We start from the raw sequence: 20,809 nt of genomic DNA on the forward strand, positions 1-20,809 counted from the left end.
GGCTACAGGTGCCTGCCACCATGCCCAGCTAATTTTTGTATTTTTGGTAGAGACAGGGTTTCTCCATGTTGCCAGGCTGGTCTCGAACTCCTGACCTCAGGTGATCCACCTCCCTCAGCCTCCCAAAGTGCTGGGATTACAGGCATGAGCCAGCATGCCCGGCCCCAGTGTAGACTTTTTTTTTTTTTTTTTTTTTAGGGCTTTTGATATTTGTTGCCAAGTTACCCTCTAAAAACCTAGTGCAAGATTACATTTTCACCCCTGGGGTGTGAGTGCCTTTTGCCCCACAGTCTAGACCATGCTGGATTTATAATTTTAAGGGAATTTATTAATTTGTTAGATGGTGGATGTGTCATTTTGATGCAGGACTTTAAGGAAGAAAAGATATATCTTTAAAAACGTTTTCTGTTTTTCTTTTTTAGCTTGTCTTTTGGAGTTCTTGCCTTTGACTTAAGGGCAAATGTCTTACTGAGAGATGCTGGGTGCCTGGGTCACAGGTGGTTTGTCGTTGCCCTTTTTCTTTTTTTTTCCAACTCAGCTAAGTTCAGCACTAGTTTTGTGACTTATTACACAGAAGACTTGAATACATCAAGGGCCTCTAGAGATTTGTGGTAACATCAAGATGTGTAGTCTGTAATGTGTCATGGGGGGTGTGAGCCATTCAAGGGGAGTTACTCTTAATGGTACCATTATTCAGGATACAGTGCTGATGCCTGCATCCTGATGGCACCACTGTCGTCCAACTCTGTTTGTGACATTGTTCATGGCCTCTGCAGAGTCAGGGAGCTCCTCAGGATAAGGCTCTGTGACATCGTCTAAACTCCAAAGAAGTAGAGCCATCATATTTCCTTCCCCAAGGGAGCTGGCATCTACCATCACTGAGGATTTTTTGAGTCTCTGTACCAGGACATGGACCTCAACTCTTTATTTCCATGATTAATCCCTATGTCAATGTACATGGCAAATGCTAGCATTTCCTTCATTTTATTGACGATAGAATCAAAACTCAGAGTGTTTAGGTAATTTCCTTGAAATTACACAGCCAGGAATGGCCAAGGCTGGGAATTGAATGGACTCCAGAACCCATGGTCGAAGTCCAAGCTCAATATCTCTGAGACCTGGAAGGAAATGAAACAGACTAAAATCAGAGTAACGCTTAAAACCATGAAGATTCCAGCCCACAGATTCTATCTGCCACATGCAGACACGATTTATACCCCTAGAGGGAAACTGAAGAAACAAGGTGGTGGTCATACAATAATAGACTCAAAACCCAACCACACTTTTGAAGTGAATAGTGGCTCATGATGGCTTTAAACATCTTAGGAGAAAAATCAAAGTTGGTGATGGGCTAATTTGGAAGATTAGCTGAAAAAGTTAAGTGGCAAAGAACTAAGTGATAGTTGGAGTGAGGAAGGCATTTTGGTGTGGAGAGAGTAAGATTGGGGAAGGAAAGCTCCCTGGGTAACTGTAGGATTAGAAGCTGTGAGGAGTGTGGTTTAATCAGACAATTTGGAAGCAAGACAGAGAGGGAACAGTCCCCATTTGGAGAGTGTTAGTGTTCAGGGTAATCAGAAAGGAAGAGTCGGAAGCATATGTAATTAATGAACGAGAAAGGCAGATGGATGATGGGGAGGTGGGTGGCGTCGCGCTACTCATATGTTCTTTTGATAAGTAAAATTATAGCATAATTTCTCACTCATTGGAAACAAGGTTATGCAATTAGGATCCTGCTGCTGCTAAAAGCTTCCAGAGATTTTAGTGCACTGGGCAGACAGAGTGATGATGTTTACTTTAAAAATCGAACTTCTCGTTTGAGATACTTAATTTTATTTAATGCTCGATTTTTGTATTTACTGGTTCTGCATTTTCTCATGTAGATTAAGATCCAATTTAGAGAAGAAATATATGGGCAGTTTGGCTGTAGAAAGCACAGAGGAATGATGCTGTGGATATTGATGCACCATGTGGTAGACAGCATTTTCTTTTCTTTTCTTTTCTTTTTTTTTTTTTTTTGAGACAGGGCCTTGCTCTGTCTTCCGGGCTGGAGTACAGTGGTGCGATCGCGGCTCGCTGTACCCTCAACCTCCTGGGCTCAGTTGATCCTCCCATCTCAGCCTTCCAAGTAGTGGGACACCATGCCCGGCTAATTTTTGTATTTTTTTGTAGAAGATGGGATTTCGCCCCATTGTCTGGTCTTGAACTCCTGAGCTCAAGTGATCCGCCCACATTGGCTTCTCAGAGTGCTGGGATTACCTGGCTGACAGCATTTGTTTTAAAGCAGTAAATGAAAATTTGGGTATTCCTTTTAAGTTTTTCAAAATTTCAATCTGCAGTTTTTAATCTATACAAAAAACTGTGGTAAAAGACGCCTAACATAAAAATTACAATCTTAACCACTTGCAAGCCTACAGTTTGGTAGTGTTAAGTAGATTCACCTTTTGAAACAGACCTCCAGAACTTTTTCATCTTGCAAAACTGAAACTGTTTGCCTATCAAACAACAGCTCTTGGTTTCCTCTTCCTCCTAGGCTTTGGCAGTTACTATTCTACTTTGTTTCTATGAATTTGACTGCTTTAACTAACTCATAAATGGACTCATACAGTATTTGTCTTTTTGTGATTCGCTTGTTTCACTTAGCGTACTATCCTCCAGGCTCACCCACATTGTAGCATGTGACAGGCTTCCTTTCCTTTTCAGGGCTGAATAATATAACATTATATATATGGATATGTACATTGAATATCCCTTATCTGAAATGCTTGGGATCAGAAATGGTTCAGATTGGGGATTTTTTTAGATTTTGGAATATTTGCATAATTCTTCCAGGTTGAGCATCCCTAATCCAGAAATCTGAAATGCTCTAATGAGCATTTCCTTGAGCATCATGTTGGTACTTAAAAAGTTTCGAATTTTGGAGCATTTCAGATTTCAGATTTTTGTGTTAGGGATCTTCAACATCATTCTATTTTTTTAATCTGTCAATGAATAAAATTACAGTTTTAACCACTTGTACACATACGGTTTGGTAGTAGTGTTAAGTATATTCACCTTTTTTTGTTGTTGTTTGAGATGGAGTCTAGCTCTGTCGCCCAGGCTGGAGTGCAGTGGCACAGTCTCGGCTCACTGCAACCTCCACCTCATGGGTTCAGGCAATTCTCGTGCCTTAGCCACCTGAGTAGCTGGGACTACAGGTGCGTGCCACCACGCTCAGCTAATTTTTGCATTTTTAGTAGAGATGCGGTTTTGCCATGTTGGCCAGGCTGGTCTCAAACTCCTGACCTCAAGTGATCCCCCCGCCTTGGCCTCCCCAAGTGCTGGGATTACAGGTATGAGCAACCATGCCTGGGTTAACTATAGTCACCTTTTGAAACAGACCTCCAGAACTTTTCGTCTTGCAAAACTGAAACTGTCTGCCTATCAAACAACAACTCTTCGTTGCTTCCACCTCTTGGCTACTCTTGAGTAGTGTGGCTATGAACACGGGTGTACAAATATTTCTGAGACCCTGCTTTCAATTCTTTAGGATAGATAGCCAGAATTGAGATTGCTGGATTACATGATGGTTCTATTTAATTTTTTGAGGGGCTTCTGTACAATTTTCCATTGTGGTTACAACCATTTTACAGTCTAAGCAACAGTGCACAAAGGTTCCAATTTCTCTGCATCATTGCCAACACCTTTTAGAAACAGTAGCCATCCTAATGGGCATGAAGACTATCTATAGTTTATTATGTCAAGCTTTTCTTCATGGTTATAAACGAATATTGTGATGAGTGATTTATCTATGTTTGCTGCTTTACTCCCCAGGGGAGGATGAGTATACCATATATGTCCATATTGATACCTATCTCAGAATACTGGTTGTACAAAACTATTCCAGGCATTGTTCTTCTTTAAGTATTTGGGGTGTTTCTTTTTGCTTATAATTTAGTACAAATGTTCTCAGTTCAGTTAATAATGAGTCCTACTGTGTGGCAGTTGAGAACATGAAGATAACCAGAACACAGTTCCCGCCCTCAAGGGACTGATGAGAAGTAGCCACGTTTTGTAGGAACGGGCAAATGAAGTGGCAAAGGAAGGTGGCCATGGGTTGCCATAGGAGCGCAGGTGAGGGATGAGGAAAGGAAGCACTAAACCAGGTCAGCTTGTGACGTGGGATAAAGAAGGCTTCTTGCAGGTAAAGCCAGAGCTGAATTTGGAAGATGGTAGGAGTTCACCTGCTAACCTGGGAGGTGTGAGTGGAGTGCCTGCGGCTGGACCCACTTTGAGCAATTGGAAAGCCTGTATAGGAAACCATAGGTGACATGATGCCAAGTGGACATGACATTCAGGGAGATGATAGGCAGAAGGTGAGGCCAAAGAAGTTGGCTGGATGTATGTCAGAGAACGTGGTTTTTATGCAATCATTGATGGAAAGCTCATGACGCATTCAGTGATGTGGACGGCTTTGTGCTCTCTGCAGACCACTCTGAGGGCAATGTGGAGGTGGAGGCAGAGAGATTAGGTAAGAGGTTTTTGTGAAAGTTCAAGTGAGATAAGGAATGAACTAGGGCAGTGGTAGTAAGAATGAGGAGAAGGGAGAAAACCTGCCAAATACTTAAAAAAATTAGCAGCCATATGCCGGTTAAGTGTATGAGTGGTGAGACAGAGGGAACATTGAAGATAACCCACAGATTTCTGGCAGTGGTTCCGTGATCTGAAATTAGGAATATAAGAATAGACACTGAGGGTGGACAGGATCAATTCCCTTTTGGACATTTTGGGTTTGATGTGTCTGTAGAAGACACAAATGGTGATGTCCAGTTCACCTTGGGTTTGTGAGTCAAATTTGACAGATTCAGATAGAGACACACTCTTGGTTCTTATTAGATGTATGCAGTAGTTAAAACTATGAAAGCAGATCCATCCCCTATGTTGGAGGGGCACAAAGAAAAGGAGCAGCCCACCAAGGAGCTGGAGAATGAGAATCGGGGTGGACCAAGAGGGAGTCGTGTCTCAGGGGCTGGGGAAAGTAGAAAGGTTCCAGAATGAGTGAGTGGTCAGGAACTTCAGATGTAGCAAAAGAGGTCTTAGAATGTAAAGATGGAGTCACTTGGCAGTGTCAAGATACAAAGACTGAATAAGTTTGGCAGCGTGGAGATACCAGGCCGTGTGAAGATCCTTAGGACCTTTGTCCAGGCGGTTTTAGGAGCTTGGTGGTTGTGGGAAACTAATTTCAGGTAAATGTTTATAATGGCAGTAGAGTGACTATGGAGTACTCCTTCAGGAAACTTAGAAGGAAAGAGAGAAAAGTGAAAAAGAGGCCAAGAAATTTTTTTTTTTTTTTTTTTTTAAAGAATATGAGAGACTTGAGCATGTTACAGGGCAAGGGAAGAGGTTGTTGATAATTAAAGTAGCTGACATTTTGGAGGGCTTGCTCCATATCACCTACATCCAACAGCTGTATATCAAAGAGCTCATCAAATCCATCCAACAAGTCTGAGGTGTTGGGACAATTACTGTTCCCAGTGTTATGAATGAGAAACTGAGGTACAAGGATGTCAAGTGGCTCTGGGTGACACCAGCAATAAGAGAGCCCAGTTTCTCATAACCTGTGTAGATGTCACCATTTACCAGAGCACTGAGATGTTTGCTGGTTTTGAGGGAGAAGTTGAAGATTTAGGGTAAAGAAGGAATAATTCATAGAACCAAGTTCTAGAAGACACTGGAAGAGATGGGCTGAAAGCTTTGTGAAATTTGTTTTTTTAAATGAAGATGAAAAGTTTAATCATAAGGGAAAAATAGGGACAGTAAACAGAGTTGGATAGAGAAAGCTCCTAAATATTGGAGCCTGTCCTGGCTCTGCCTCCTGCAAGAACAGTGGTTTTGGTTTCTTTTCTGCACAAGGTGGTCCTTTTAGTCACATTTATTGATTGATTGGTTTCTTTATTATCACGGTTTGAGCTGTCATTGAGTATGTGACATTCTGTTATTTTAACAGTGTTATATTAAGAATCTACTCTATGTTTGGGTTATTTTCAGTCCAGTGACTTAAATGATAGCATGCCCTCCATTCTTGGTGACTTGTGTTGAGAAATCTTATGCTGGGGACATATTGAAATTGTTGCAATGTGGTTTAATATTACATGTTTTAAAAGCTAAGAAGCTCCTATTAGTCTCTGAAATATACCTGGTTTCCAATTTAGTCTACAAAGGAGATATCATTCCTGACCCTGATTTAGTGGGAGAGACAGAGATGCCTATATATTGGATGATGTATTATTCCATACACACCTACATACACAGCTCTGTAATGTTTAGGAGGCTTCAACAATGGGCAGATAGAAACCTGCAGCTCCTATTGCATTATAGCTCCTAAATAAGGTGTTAGCATGATTATTTATGAATTTACCCTGTGAGCTATAATTCAAATCCTTGGCCAATCAAAGGGAAAAATAAATCACTGGGAGTAGTGTTTTACTTAAAACCCATTAAAGCAATTTAAGTGAAAGTTTTTTTCAGGTATGAATACCTAGCTCCCTGCAGGAGGGCAAATGTTGATGTAGGGATATCTTTATTAATAGTCTTGGTGAAACTGAAGGAGAAGGCATACAATACAGTCTTTCACAGAACTCAGCAGTAGCCATAAATCCATTTATGAACAGTTCAAGTAATAGAGCTTTGAAGCATAACATTAGTTTTCAATAATGATGTTATTCTTTTAAAAAATCAGAGGTTTAAATGTAATGCATGGGGAAATGGGGCATAATAAATTTGAATAAGTAAGCATTACTTTTCAGTGGATCCAGCAGATTCCCTTTTTATTTTATTTATTGTTCAGGTTGTTGAATTTTGTTTATTCAAATAGTAAATGAGACATAGTCCAGGGAAGAGCCCTTTGCTTATGCTATATGATTTAAGGCCAGCTGCCGTTTTTCCTGAGCTACATACGCTTCATCATGTTGGAGGAATCAACTTCAAAAGTCAGCTGGCTGTTCTGCAGACAAGCACCAGACTTGTTATTCACCCTGAATCCTCAGCCTTAGCTCCCCAATCTCTGTTGCACAGAAAACTACAATTCCTGGGTGCCTGGAAAGAGAGGGACAAATATTAATTTGCATGACAGTATCCTGTGCAGGACCTCGTGCTAGGAGAAGCCCAGGAAATGTTTGTTGGTAGTTTTCACTTTGTCTTGCTAGAAAAGCCTCTACAGGAAATCTCCTCTGCTTCTAGGAACGTCAAATTTCAAATAATCCTGGCCAAGTAGCTGGTTCCTATTCTTGACTCCTTCATGGGGGCGGCGGAGGGGAAAGCTTCCTATGATAATACATTGCAGCATTACGCTGCCCAAAGTGCCAAGGGCGGTTGGGTACTATTCTTAGTGTTTATGTCTTTAGTTCTTGTTCTTTTACTTACTTATTTTTGGCAGATTACTGTTTACAAGCCTCAGGAAGTTAGCAGCAAGCTTGTCCCTTAGTCCTTAGCAATAACGTTTGAGAATTGCTGGAACCTGTTTGTCTTGTTAGCAACTACCCAAATACGAAGAAGCAAGGCTGCAAGGCAAGCACCAAACTTGTTATTCACCCTGAATCTTCTGCCTTGGCTCCTCAGTCTCTGTTCCACACACTCCCATGCTGGCTGCTGGAAAGGATGGTAGGCCTTTTTTTTTTTTTTTTTTTTTTTTTTTGAGACAGCGTTTCACTCTAGTGCAGGCTGGAGTGCAGTGGCACGATCTCGGCTCACTGCAACCTCTGTCTCCTGGGTTCAAGCATTTCTCCTGCCTCAGCCTCCTGAGTAGCTGAGATTACAGGCGCACGCCACCACGCCCGGCTAATTTTTGTGTTTTTAGTAGAGACGGGGTTTCACCATGTTGGCCAGGCTGATCTCAAACTCCTGACCTCAAGTGATCCACTCACCTCGGCCTCCCAAAGTGCTGGGATTACAGGTGTGAGCCACTGCGCCCGGCCAAGAGAGGGGTAGGCCTTTTTGATGGGATGGAAACTGCTCTTCCTGGGATTTCAGCCCGCCCCTATCTCTCCCATCAGGAGAGAAGGCAGAGCACAGTGATTGTCCATGGGCTGGTCTCTGTTCACTTCCCCAAGGTGCCGACACTGCGTGCACTCCACACGTGAGGCAGGTGTGGGAATGAAGCTGCCTGAAGGCCGTGGGGATTTCACAGCTGGTGAACCTGCTGTCCCTGAAGTGCCATTACTTAAACCCAGAGTTTTCTGCTCACTTCTCATTTTATTGAAAATGGTGCATTGGCAAAGTGATGTTGAACTGGAACTGACAACCAGCATTGTCCCTCTGCTTTCCTCAGACTAATCCACGGGCTGTCCACTCCCCTGTGATGCTCTCTGGATCGGGTCCAGCCCTTGCTTTCCTTGGAAAACACTACCTATATTTAGTGGTACCACTAGATCTTCTAGCATCCGTTTTCTGTTGCTGCATATTCATTAATAATAGGGAGAAAAAAAAAACCAACCCTTGTGTAATTGCTATTTGAATTTCACAGATAGAGTAGACATTTAAAGATTTAGTTGGCTTTAAAATGTAAATTTAGAAGTTCCTGGTAGGCAAAGCATGTTTCTCTAAGGGTTTATAATCCAATCATTCAATCCCTATTCCTTTACACGTAAAATTAATCCTTTCCAATAGGTACAAATGCCTGAATGGAGAAGATGGAAGGTTCTTGGCAGATGGCTATCTGTGCTCTTCATTGGCAATTTTTTTTTTAACTTGAAAAAGTCAAGCATTTTGGTAGGAGAATATGCTTTGCTGGACTCTGCCAAGTTTCTTGTGGCTGTGTTCCTATTAGTGGGCTTCAGGGGCTTCCTGTGGACAATTATTATGGTTGGTGTGGAGGAAAAATGGAATACATTATTTTCATCTTTTCATTAAAAAATGTGGCTTCCTTCCCTTTTCTCCAGCCAGCTGTCAGATTTGAATGCCTGCCCTAGTTTGCTCTGTCATCATCGAGTTAGTGGGTTGAGTGATGGGAGCTGGCAGAAGCCCATTAGAATGATTGCCAGTTTCCAAACACACCCCGAATCCCTTGCTACAGATGTCTAGGAAGACGGGATAACAGAAATTTGCCTCTGGGTTTCAGTACATTGATTTCTTGCTCATTTTAATTACAGGTCTCCCATTAAAGAACGGGGTGGGGGAGGGAAAGCAGCTTTGAATTAAAAATGTGACTTATTTATGGGTTTAGTTGCTTTACTATGAAGACTTGCTCTAAAAAGAAAGTTTCATTGGATGCTCTTAAAGTTCTTTATAAAAAGATCCCCATTGTACAGATGCTGACAACATTCCATGAACAAAAGGCTTATCTGGATCACCTAAAGGTCTGTCTGGAATCCAAAATAAAACTGGTGCCCAGGTGGCTAATTATCACTTTCTGTATCATGCCTGGAAAATACACAGCCTCCTTTGCCAAGAGTCTATGGCAGGGCAGAAAACGCTGCCCAGGCAGCTTCATGTAGCATTGTAGCTTTTCCAGGTTTTTTTTTTTTTTTTTTTTTTTTAAATGTCATAGAAAAGATACCGGTGGATATGAATCCTTTGTGCTGAAGTTGGATGGCAGTTAGAACTTAAAATTTAAAGAATGCATTCGATCAGTTGGGCTAATCCGTTTGGGTGGTTGGAGCCTGATACCAGGTAGGTAAAATTACACAGCCATCTACTTTCATTCTTTTCCACCCATTTGCCATGCCCTGCACTGTCTGCCAGGTGAGAGAGGGATGTCAGCTTAGTGCAGAGTTTTACCACACCTGGAGAAAAGAGCTCCTGTCTGCTTCTAAGGGACTGCGAATTGCTGGCAACTTCTTGATCTGTAGAGGACACTTCCTTTCCAGGAAATCTAATTTTGAGAAAACGATTGCACTTCTAAAGAGGTCTTTCCCGTGTGATCTCTAGACACTCTTCGTTGCTTTAAAATGAAAGCCTGGGTTTTAATATTTTTACATCATTGCATAGATTCAGAGCAACTAATATTTTGCTTGTTCAGTGGACACCTTGTTGAAGTATGAGTAAATTTGTGAATTGTAGTGTTTAGCCAACCTTTTTTTTTTTCCCATTGGTTTTATCCGTCTTAAAAAGGTTTGGATCTGTGCCCCACCCAAATCTCATGTGGAACTGTGATCCGCAGTGTTGGAGGTGGGGCCTGGTGGGAGGTGATCAGATCATGGGGGCGGATCCTTTGTGGATGGTTTAGCACCATCACCTTGGGCTGTTACTGTGATAGTGAGTTCTCGGGGATCTGGTGGTTTAAAAGTGTGTAGAATCTTCCCCTGACACTTGTGCCTGCAAGAAAGCTTGCTCCGGCTTTGCTTTCTGCCATGATTGTAAGTTTTCTGAGGCCTCCCCAGAAGCCAAGCGGAAGCCACTGTGCTTCCTGGACAGCCTGCAGTACCGTGAGCCAGTTAAACCTCTTTTCTTTATAAATTACCTAGTCACAGGTATTTCTTTACAGCAGTGTGAAAATGGACTAATGCACCATCTATGCATTATTTATTTGGACCTAAATATATCCCAGGAATTGTGCTAGACTGAAAATATAGTTTGTATATGCACATTTGAAGTTCATGTGATTCTGCTACTCTGAAAAATGTTTTGCATTTTTTGTTTAAAAAAAAAAAGTAGATTTCCTTTTCTTTACAGTTAAATTAGCATATTAGTTTAAAAAAGTGTTGTATTTTATGGTTCATTAACAGAATTTTACGATTTTCTAACTTGCCAAGGATTATGGTGTTTATTCTTGAACATTGCAAGCCCCATTGAAAGTTTGGATGTAACATAGGTATAGATTTTTATGTGTGTTTCTTAGAAATAACAGATAAGCAGTTTAAAATCATTGCTTCCATAAAAGCTGAAATTCGTCTTTTTGAAATAGGTTGGGTAAGGATTTGAGCATTTATGTAATTTGTTGTTGGAACCACCCATCCTCCATGGAGGTTATGCTCAATTACGTATTATAAAAATTGGCATTGACACTAATTCACTTTCTGTATCTCTTTTGGATAGATGGATGATATACAGCATAAGAAAGATTTACTGGAAAAGATGCTGTAATCAAAATAGGTTGTCCAAGGCAACTATAGGTTGATAGCGTGTTATTTGCAGATAAACTGAAATTTTGAAAGAAAGAATATTTGGAAGGAAAAGAATTTCAATCCGATTATCCAGTGTTTTTAGACCTTCTGGCTATGAGATTGAATTGACTATATTTCATTGACTGTTAATTAATTAGTACCTTTGTAATGGTATAATTTAGAGAACTGCATTTTAGGGCATTACTTTAGTCTCAAGGTTGTCAAATATTGTAACTTGAGCTTTGAAAACTAGTTTGTAAAAATGAGGGAATACATTTAATCCATGTCAACTAATTTGAATCAATGACATAAAATACAGCTTGGGCATTAAAGCACCGTGTATATGTTTGCGTGTGCTTGTCTAACTGGGACTGTCTATGTCAATCTTCTGTTACCTTATGCGTTGTTTGGTTTATCTAGCTTTTTAAAAAATTGGTTATAGTCTTACTTCATGCATTTTTAGCACAAATCTTCATTTCATTTTACCTTCACCAGTAATAAGAGCAGAAAAAGAGGTCAGCAACAAATAATTTGCTGCTCATTAGTTGAGTTGATGTGTGGGAAGTATAGCACTTTTGATTGAAATGGTGGTTGTCGGCCGGGCGCGGTGGCTTGCACCTGTAATCCCAACACTTTGGGAGGCCGAGGTGGGCGGATCACAAGGCTAGGAGTTCAAGACCAGCCTGGCCAACACGATGAAACCCTGTCTCTACTAAAAATACAAAAATTAGCCGGGCGTGGTGGTGTGCGCCTGTAATCCCAGCTACTTAGGAGGCTGAGGCAGGAGAATCGCTTGAACCCGGGAGGCGGAGGTTGCAGTGAGCTGAGATCACGTCATCGCACTCCCTCCCCAGTCTCAAAAAAAAAAAAAAAAAAAAAAGAAGAAGAATAAATAGTGGTTGTCAGTTATCAGAAAACCTTAACTTTTTGGTAAGTTTTTGAGTTACCTCTTGTAAGTAAAGGCTTGAGGGAGTTTAGGAAGCACTGTGACGTCCACTCATGAAAGACAGAATATACCAGGGCTGGGATGGGATGGAGGCAGGGGGTGAATAAGACTTAGGGGTTCGTTCTCCCTTTCTCCTCAGGTTCACTTGTTGAAAGTCTTGGATGCTTCTGTGAGGCCTTAGGGGGTACCATGTCTAACTTGTGCCTTCTCTATTTTTGCATACAAGGCAGGTGACACCTCCTTGTCTTGGACTCCTGTGGACCATGTCTGTTCCATTGATGAATTAGCATTTATGATAGATTATTTTTCTAGGGATGGAAAAACTTAGGAAAGCCAATGCCTGTTGCCTGCATTAGTATACCTGATAGCTCTGTACAATATATGCTGTCACTCTCTCAGATGGATTGGAAGTATTAGAAACTATCAACCTCTCAAAATTCTGTATTTGAAAATAGTCTTGTATTTTAGATAGATAAAATCAGAAGTCTTCAATATTCTGAGAGCTCCACATAGAAATCAGACTCAGGGCTGGGCGCGGTGGCTCACGCCTGTAATCCCAGCACTTTGGGAGGCCGAGGTGGGCGGATCACAAGGTCAGGAGATCGAGACCATCCTGGTTAACACGGTGAAACCCCGTCTCCACTAAAAAGTACAAAAAAATTAGCCAGACGTGGTGGCAGGCGCCTGTGTCCCAGCTGAGACAGGAGAATGTCATGAACCTGGGAGGTGGAGCTTGCAGTGAGCCGAGATCACGCCACTGCACTCCAGCCTGGGCGACAGAGTGAGACTCCGTCTCAAAGAATAAATAAATAAATAAAAGAGAAGAAATCAGACTCAGTTAGTAGATCGTGCTGGTCTGTCATCATCTACTTTGTTCACTCGTTCGTTTGTGTGTTCATTCCTTTGTTCAATAAACAAGTACCAGCTGTTGGCCTCCTAGTGCCAGGTGCTATGCCAGGCTTGGAGTGAAGGTGAGGACTGGTTCAATATCTCCCCAGTCCCTTTCACTAAACTTTATAGCAAATATATTAATGGATTTCTACCTTGGGAATCTCTCTTTAATTTTATAGGTGATACCAACAGAGATTTTTTTTTTTTGATTAATGATTTTTTTGTTTGTGTTTTCATTATTTGGGGATGCTTTTTCCTATTTATATGAGGAATATTTGTACATGATGAATACTGTGAACACTGCAAAAAGATTTCCCATGAATGAACTCACAAATGGAAACTCAGACGTGGCTGGTCTGTGTTGCTTGTCACTGAAAACTGGACTAAGTCATTATAGCTTTTCCTTGTTTGAGGGATCTTTTGCAGTTGCTGAAACTGCTAAATAAACACTTCAATATAAGAAAATTACACCTTAGCTTAAAAAATATTGTTATTTTTGGTTTCTGAGAGCAGTTATATAAATTTCCTTCCAATTCATTGACATTGTTAGGTAGTTGAACTTTTTGTTTGTTTGTTTGTTTGAGACAGAGTCTCACTCTGTTACTCAGGCTGGAGTGTGGTGGCGCGATCTCGGCTCACTGCAACCTCCACCTCCCAGGTTCAAGCGATTCTCCTGCCTCAGCCTCCCGAGTAGCTGGGACTACAGGCATATACCACCACGCCTGGCTAATTTTTGTATTTTTAGTAGAGACAGGGTTTTACCATGTTGGCCAGACTGGTCTCAAACTCCTGACCTCAGGCGATCCGCCCACCTTGGCCTCCCAAAGTGCTGGGATTACAGGCGTGAGCCACCTTGCCCAGCCAGGTAGTTGAACTTTTGAACTTAACCAGTAAATTACTTTTTCATGTGTGCGCTCTACTCTGGACAGGAGTTTGCTTTTGCTTTGCCTTAGAGATGCCCTTACCCACCCACAGAGCCTGAGTGAGCTGATCTGTGCATAGACTTAGTATTTTCCATGTTTGATAATTGTATATATTCTCTGTTAATTCTGTTTTTGTTTTGTTTGTTTTGTTTTGGGGACAGGGTCTTGCCCTGTCGCCCAGGCTGAAGTGCAGTGGTGCAGTCATGGCTCACTGCAGCCTCAACCTCCTGGGCTCAAGCGATCCTCCTACCTTAGCCTCCTAAGTAGTTGAGAGTATAGTTGTGCCCCTGTAGCACCAACATCTGGCTTTTTTTTTTTTTTTTAAGATAGATTCTTTCTATGTTATCCAGGCTGGTCTTGAATTCCTGGGGTCAAAGGATCCTGCCAAAGTGCTGGGATTACAGGCATGAGCCACTGCGCGCAGCCATGCTTGCAAATTCTTAAGTCTTTAAAAACAGCAGTCTTTGGTCTTTTAGACACACTTAGATGTTTTGAGATTATCTGTGTACTTATTGTTTTGTTAAAAAAACAAAAAACCATGAAAACCCATCCTGAAGTTTTAGTTTGCCTGCCCTCTGGGACAGCTATTCTCAAGGCATGGTCTGTGGACTGCCGGGAGTCTACAAGACCAGAGGGTCTTTAAGGCCAAACCACTTTTCATGGTAGTACTTAGATGCTTTTGTTGTTTTCACTGTTGACAGTTGCCCGAATGGTGCAAAAGCAGAGGTGGACGAAACTGCTTGTGTCTTGGTGTGAGTCAAGGCAGTGGCACAGCCACTAGCGGCCGTCCTGATCTTCCCCTCCCACCAAGTGCAGTAATAAAGGAAAAGAGTCAGTTTCACTTGAGAGTGGCCTTGATGAAGCAGTATTAATGTCATTAAACCCTGACTGTGCTGCAGGGATTCTTGTCTGAGCAATGGGCCGCCTACTTTCTGGTAATTTTTGAGAATATTAAAAAAACCTTACTTTTTATTACTTTTTAAAAATATTCTTTGTAATAAAATGAGAAGTATGGATAAAGTGCCTCTGGACACTGAGAGATCATTATTTTTCAGGAAAAAAAATCTTTTTTTTTTTTTTTTGAGTAATGAATGGAACTAGCCACTATTTTCATGGAACATCACTTTTACTTAGTTTAATTAATTAATTTACTTAAGACTGGGTCTTGTTCCATCACCCAGGCTGGAGTGCAGTGGCACGATCACTGCTCACTGCAGCCTTGACTTCCTGAGCTCAGGTGATCCTCCCACCTCAGCCTCCCAAGGCACACACCACCACATCCAGTTGATTTTTGTATTTTTGGGAGAGACAGTGTTTCTCCATATTGGCCAGGCTGGTTTCGAACTCCTGAGCTCAAGTCGTCCACCAGGCTTGGCCTTCTGAAGTGCTGGGATTACAAGCGTGAGCCACTGCACCTGGCCTATTTTTAAAATTTCTATTTATTTATTTACTTTTGCACTTTTACTTAAAAGAGCGACTGACAAATCAGTTTTTCAGACTTGGGCATTTGTCAGACGTTTTCTTTAAAATGAATAAAGTTAAGGTGTCACTTCAAGGGAAATAACCCTGAGTATTTGTCCTGAGCCCCAGGTTTGTGAACATCTGCCCTTGGAAAATGGGAGAGTCCACACTAGGAGCTGCAGGGACCCATTTGCCCCACAAACTTCTGCAGGGGTTTATGTCTGAGCTATGTGCCACCTGCTTTCTGGTGTCCTTCCTTTGTGAATTTCCCAAGCGCTTTTGACTTACTTTAGTAGCGAGATGGCTGTGTTCTGGGTTTGGGTTAGTAGTTTCATGAAGATACACCACCCTTCCTCTTCCTCTGATCTGTAAGAGATAGGAAAAAACCAAAGTGTTTTTCCTATTCTAATCCAGATCACTTCCTCCATGGTCTCTAAAACGTGAGGATTTCTCCACACCAGCAGCCAATCCGTTCCCCAGCAGATACCAGCCATTAGAGATGGGAAGAACCGAGGCGTTCTTCCTACTCTGATGCACCACTCAACACAACACTTCAGATACCAGATATGTGGAGATTCTGCACCCCCCACAACACACACACCAAGCAATTCTCCAGCAGACACCAGCTGTGTAGTTCAGTTCAGTTCTGACGCTGCCCACCTGGCAGTAGTGTCAGATCCCACAAGTTAAGGGCTCAGTCCCAAGAGACTACTGCTTCTCTCCTCAGATGCCAACGTAAATCGCCAGATTGTGACCTGTGCTCCTGACTGACTGTCTCTAACTTTGGCTTCCCATCACCCCTTCTCAGGCTCAGTTCATCTACTAGGGCAGCTCACAGAACTTAGGCAAATACTTATATTTGCTGATTTATTATAAAGGATATTTCAAGGGATACAGATGAACAGCCAGAAGGAAGAGATGCACAGTAGGGCATGTAGGCAGGGGGGTGGAGTATCCATGCCCTTTCCAGATGTGCCAGCCTCCTGGCACCTCAGCAACCAGGAGCTTGTCTGTTATGTAGACATGATTGATTACATCATTGACCATTGGTGATCAATTCAACCCGCAGCCTCTCTCCCTTCCCCAGAGGTCAGAGGGTGGGGTTGAGAGTTTCAGCCTCTAATCAGATGATTTTCCTGGCAACCAGCCACCTACGCATCAGGAGACTATTGAGGAGCCCACCAAGTGTCGCCTCATTAGAACAAAAGAAGCTCCCATTACCCAACAGATTCCAAAAGATTTTGCAGCTCTGTGTCAGACACTCCGGTCTCTCAGGAAATTACAGAGCTCTTATGAGCTCTGTGTTAGGAACTGGGGTCAAAGATTAAGTATCAGGGCTGGGTGTGGTGGTTCACGTCAGTAATCCCAGCATTTTGGGAGGCCAAGGCAGGCAGATCACTAGAGGTCAGGAGTTCGAGGTCAGCCTTGCCAACATGGCAATACCCCGTCTCTACTAAAAATACAAAAATTAGCTGAGCATGGTGGCAGGCACCTGTAATCTCAGCTACTGGGGAGGCTGAGGCAGGAGAATCGCTTGAACCAGGAGGCAGAGGTTGCAGTGAGCCAGGATTGCACCACTGCTCTCCAGTCTGGGTGACAGAGTGAGACTGCATCTCAAAAAAAAAAAAAAAAGATTAAATATGAGAACGAAAGATGCATATAAATAGATAGGGACGTAATTTCCCTATCTATTTATAAGGGTTTCAGGAGCTCTACATCAGGAACTAAATGTATACCAGTGATATGGTTTGGATCTGCATCCCCACCCACATCTCATAGGAATTGTGATCCCCAGTGTTGGAGGTGGGGTTTGGTGAGAGGTGATTAGATCATGGGGGTGGATCCTTCAGGAATGGTTTAGCCCCATCACCTTGGTGCTGTGAGTGAGTTCTCACGAGATCTGGTCGTTTAAAAGTGTGTAGCACCTCCCTGCTCCCTCTTTCTTCCTCCTGCTTCTGCCATGGAAAATGCCTCCCTCCCGCTTTGCCTTCTGCCATGATTGTAAGTTCCCTGAGGCCTCCCCAGAAACGTGTCACCATGCTTCCTGTACGGCCTGTGGAACTGTGAAGCAATTAAACCTCTTTTCTGTATAAATTACCCAGTCTCAGGTATTTCCTTATAGCAATGAGAGAACAGATGAATACAACCAGAGGCCAAATACATATTTCTTATTACACAGCATCATACTTTGCTTCACATGTGTATAACCAAGGATGTTTTTGCTTGTCTTATATGGTATGACCAGCTTGGCAGTGGATCTAACCTTTTAGGACTTTTGCTACTAACTCTGCTTGGTTTCTGTTTGTGTGTGACAATGTGATTCAAGCAGATGTTATAGTCTGGTGAACGCCAGGTGTACTGTACTGGAGAAAATAGAAAAAGTCAGGGGCTGGTTTGATATCTTGTGGTCTTCCTGCATGTACTATATGCCAGGAGACTTACTTCATAGTAAGACATACTATGAAGCCACTAGAAATTGTTTTTAAAGACTAGTTTAGTGACATGATGTTAAGAAGAGTGGCAAGGTACAAATGCCTATAAATAGACCAGAATGAAAATATACTTAAATGTACCTGGAGAAAAAGGCCAGAAGGAAGTGCGCCAACATGATAACGTTTATCTCTCGGTGCTCATAGAATGAGTAGTTTTTTTTTTCTTTATACTCTTCCACATTTTCCAAATTTTCACAAATGGGCTTGGATTACTTTTATAATCAGTAATTTAAATAAACCTTTTAAAAGCACAGCTTGTCTATATTTCATAGTAAAGTCTAGATAATCTCTGCTGACTTTAAATTCAGCAGTATTATATACTTAACTATGATTGAGCTAAAAGATGCTGTCATTGAATTTTTAATTTTGATACGATGTCCATTTAGAAAATAAGTTAGAACCTCCTTTGGACTTTTTCCCTCAGTGAACAGCTTATATCAAATTAGCATGAGGTTGATTCTGAATTGGCTCACACTTGAAGTGAATGTCCTTTGTAATTTTCAAAGTGATCAGTGAGGGATTAGAAGCTTGCTGTAAAGTGGCAGTTTACCTACACTTGCTCAGCTGTAAATTATTAACTTTTGGCCCAAAGGTAGCCCTGGAAGTCCTGAGCTATTCATTCAGGAGCACGGTAGGCAGAGGCCAATGACCTTAAAACCAAACGGCCAGATTTCTAAGCGCAGTCTTAAAGCATTCTTCTTTGTTTCCACAAAGATCAAAGATATCCTTAAATCGATGTTAGAGAAAGCGTTCAAAGAAGTGTTCAGCTTCAAAGAAAAAAAAGTGGTAAGCTTTCTAGCCCTTTCCAGCTCGAAGTGCCCTGGGGTCTGTTGGTTTCTGGGTAGGTTGGGCGATAGGGACTTTGCCTGGTTGCCTTTTTTGCGTCTGCTTCCTCATCTGTGAAATGGGGATAACAACAGTGCCTGCTCAAACTTGTTGGGTGGACTGAATGAATCCGTCCATATAAAATGCCTGGCACATAAGCACTCATCAGCTGTTGTTATAATTAAGGTCAGTCCTTGAAAGGCTTAAAGAAACCTGGGCAGGAGGCTGCTGTAAGTGACAAGCCACCCACACTGTCAGGCTGCATGCATTCCCATTCGTTAGGTGCCTCTTTGGGAATTCTGGATACTGACTGGCACACAGTGGGCATTCTGTAAATGGTGGTTAAATGGATGAATGAACCGGTAAGACCCCCTCCCTCACTATGGGTTTCTCTTACTCATCTGTAACTAATTCCAAAGTCTACCATCATGAAAGAGCCTGCACTGTTGTCACCTGCCTCTACTGAGGTGGCTGATAGACTAGCTGCTGCTGGTGTCTATCACACAGGCTACAGGTCCTGGACCCCTGCAGGATGGGCAACCACCATCCTGACTGGCTGAGAGTGGACACCCAGGAAAAGATGGGTGTGGGCCATGCAGAAAGCTGCAGCGGAATGGCATTAGTGCAACTCCACGTGTGTGCCCGACGTGCTGGAACAGGGAGAGGGAAGCAGAGGCAGCGTAGTGTCAGAAGCGTACACAGGCAGAGGTGGCTAGGGGAGTGGGGAGCATCCATGTGGCCGGCAGCTGGGGACTGACAGGCACAGCTGGATCCTCTCCCACCGTGTAGCCACCTGCCCAAACTCCACTAAGCCTTTTCAAGGACTGACCTTAATTATAACAGCTGATGAAGCTTATTGTGTGCTGGGCATTTTACATAGATGAGTTCAGTCAATCCACCCAATAGTCTCAAGCGGGTGCTGTTGTTATCCCTAGTTTAGAGATATCAAAGAAGTTGAACAAGCCCCATCACAGGAAAAAGGAGGTGCTGGGATTTGATCCCTGGCAGCCTGACTCTGAAGCCTGTGTAACCTTGTGCTTCCTCCTCCTGCTGGAAACATCCTGTTCCTGTGTGTGGACTGCACACCCCGGGTGCCAGAAACCTCACTGTGGATTGTCTGTCTGAGATCTACCCTGTCCATGTGTCACAGTATTGGAAAAGGTTCTGGAACTCTGGCCTTTGTCTCAAAAAAAGTTGGGGGTGGGTGGGCGGTCTCGCTCTGTCACCTAGGCTGGAGTGCAATGGCGCGATCTCGGCTCACTGCAACCTCCGCCTCCTGGGTTCAAGTGATTCTCCTGCCTCAGTCTCCTGAGCAGCTGGGACTACAGGTGCCCCCTACCACGCCCAGCTAATTTTTGTATTTTTGGTAGAGATGGGGGTTTTGCCATGTTGGCCAGGCTGGTCTCAAACTCCTGAGCTCAAGTGATCCATTTGCCTCGGCCTCCCAAAGTGCTGGAATTACAGGTGTGAGCCACCGTGCCCAGCCTGGCCTTTTTTTTTTTTAATACAATAAAAAGATTAATTGAAAATTATTAAATCCATAGCATAGTTTACTGCAGTTTACCGTATTGTTCAATTTAGGTATAATTACAGATACAGGTGCCCTAATACCACAAAACTGTCTGGCTAGTGTGAACTTTGGTCCCTAAAGATCTGGTGAAATCCCTAGCCAGGTGCAGCAGAGGAATTTGTCTTTGCCTGGATTATCATCTTTGGTTCTTACTGTCCTGTGTTGCCTCTGTGGCCCATCCATTCCTAGGCTGCAAGGATGGCTTCAGGCCATTTCTGCTTGTAGAGACTTGCATTCTCTCTCTGGAATTGCTCTAAGCTTAGATTTTCAGTTGAGCAAACACTCATCACATGTACCTGCAGAGAGCTCCTGCTGTCTCTTTTCTCAGTTGCATACCACCCCAGGTAAGGAGGGTCCCTCTGCCTCCAGTGTCACTGCAAAGCGACAGCTACCTGTTGCCCATTGCCCAGGCTCACGTTTGGTCTTTTGTTTGGCTGCCTCTCAGGTAGTGGAAGGTGAAACACAGGACTTTTCCTGATAGAGATAGTTATTCCTCTGTTGAAATCCAATTTAAATATCGTTCTCTTCATGGCAAAAAAGAGTCCTAGAGTTGCTCAGGCCATTCTTTGGTTCACAGTCCCCAGGATGCATGCAACTGGGATTTTTCTTAAACTACTTACCTCTTT

General features: G+C 42.7%; 1 protein-coding gene and 1 long non-coding RNA gene across 9 annotated transcripts in view, besides 2 other annotated features; one reads left to right on the top strand and one right to left on the bottom strand.

Annotated features, from left to right (window-relative positions):
* The window catches only part of PRKCA (protein kinase C alpha), a 508,131-nt gene that overhangs the window by 94,488 nt on the left and 392,834 nt on the right, over positions 1 to 20,809 (top strand). The gene's annotated exons all lie outside the window — the stretch shown is intronic.
* On the bottom strand, positions 969 to 19,754 carry PRKCA-AS1 (PRKCA antisense RNA 1). Its single transcript, NR_110822.1, has 4 exons — positions 19,443 to 19,754; positions 17,870 to 18,685; positions 15,585 to 15,662; positions 969 to 1,118 (listed from the first exon to the last, which is right to left on the bottom strand). It is a non-coding gene; the product is annotated as a PRKCA antisense RNA 1 (long non-coding RNA).
* Positions 16,971 to 17,265: an enhancer, noted in NCBI's record as "tiled region #12714; HepG2 Activating non-DNase unmatched - State 6:EnhF, and K562 Activating DNase matched - State 7:EnhWF". NCBI's record gives its function as "activates a minimal TATA promoter and a strong SV40 promoter by Sharpr-MPRA in HepG2 and K562 cells {active_cell/tissue: HepG2 | K562}" and the evidence as "EXISTENCE:reporter gene assay evidence [ECO:0000049][PMID:27701403]".
* Positions 19,241 to 19,740: an enhancer, noted in NCBI's record as "H3K4me1 hESC enhancer chr17:64412459-64412958 (GRCh37/hg19 assembly coordinates)". NCBI's record gives its function as "activates a minimal SCP1, AML or CMV promoter by ChIP-STARR-seq in primed H9 embryonic stem cells {active_cell/tissue: H9 hESC(primed)}" and the evidence as "EXISTENCE:reporter gene assay evidence [ECO:0000049][PMID:30033119]".

This window comes from Homo sapiens, chromosome 17, assembly GCF_000001405.40.
Source record: "Homo sapiens chromosome 17, GRCh38.p14 Primary Assembly".
NCBI classification, from domain to species: domain Eukaryota; kingdom Metazoa; phylum Chordata; class Mammalia; order Primates; family Hominidae; genus Homo; species Homo sapiens.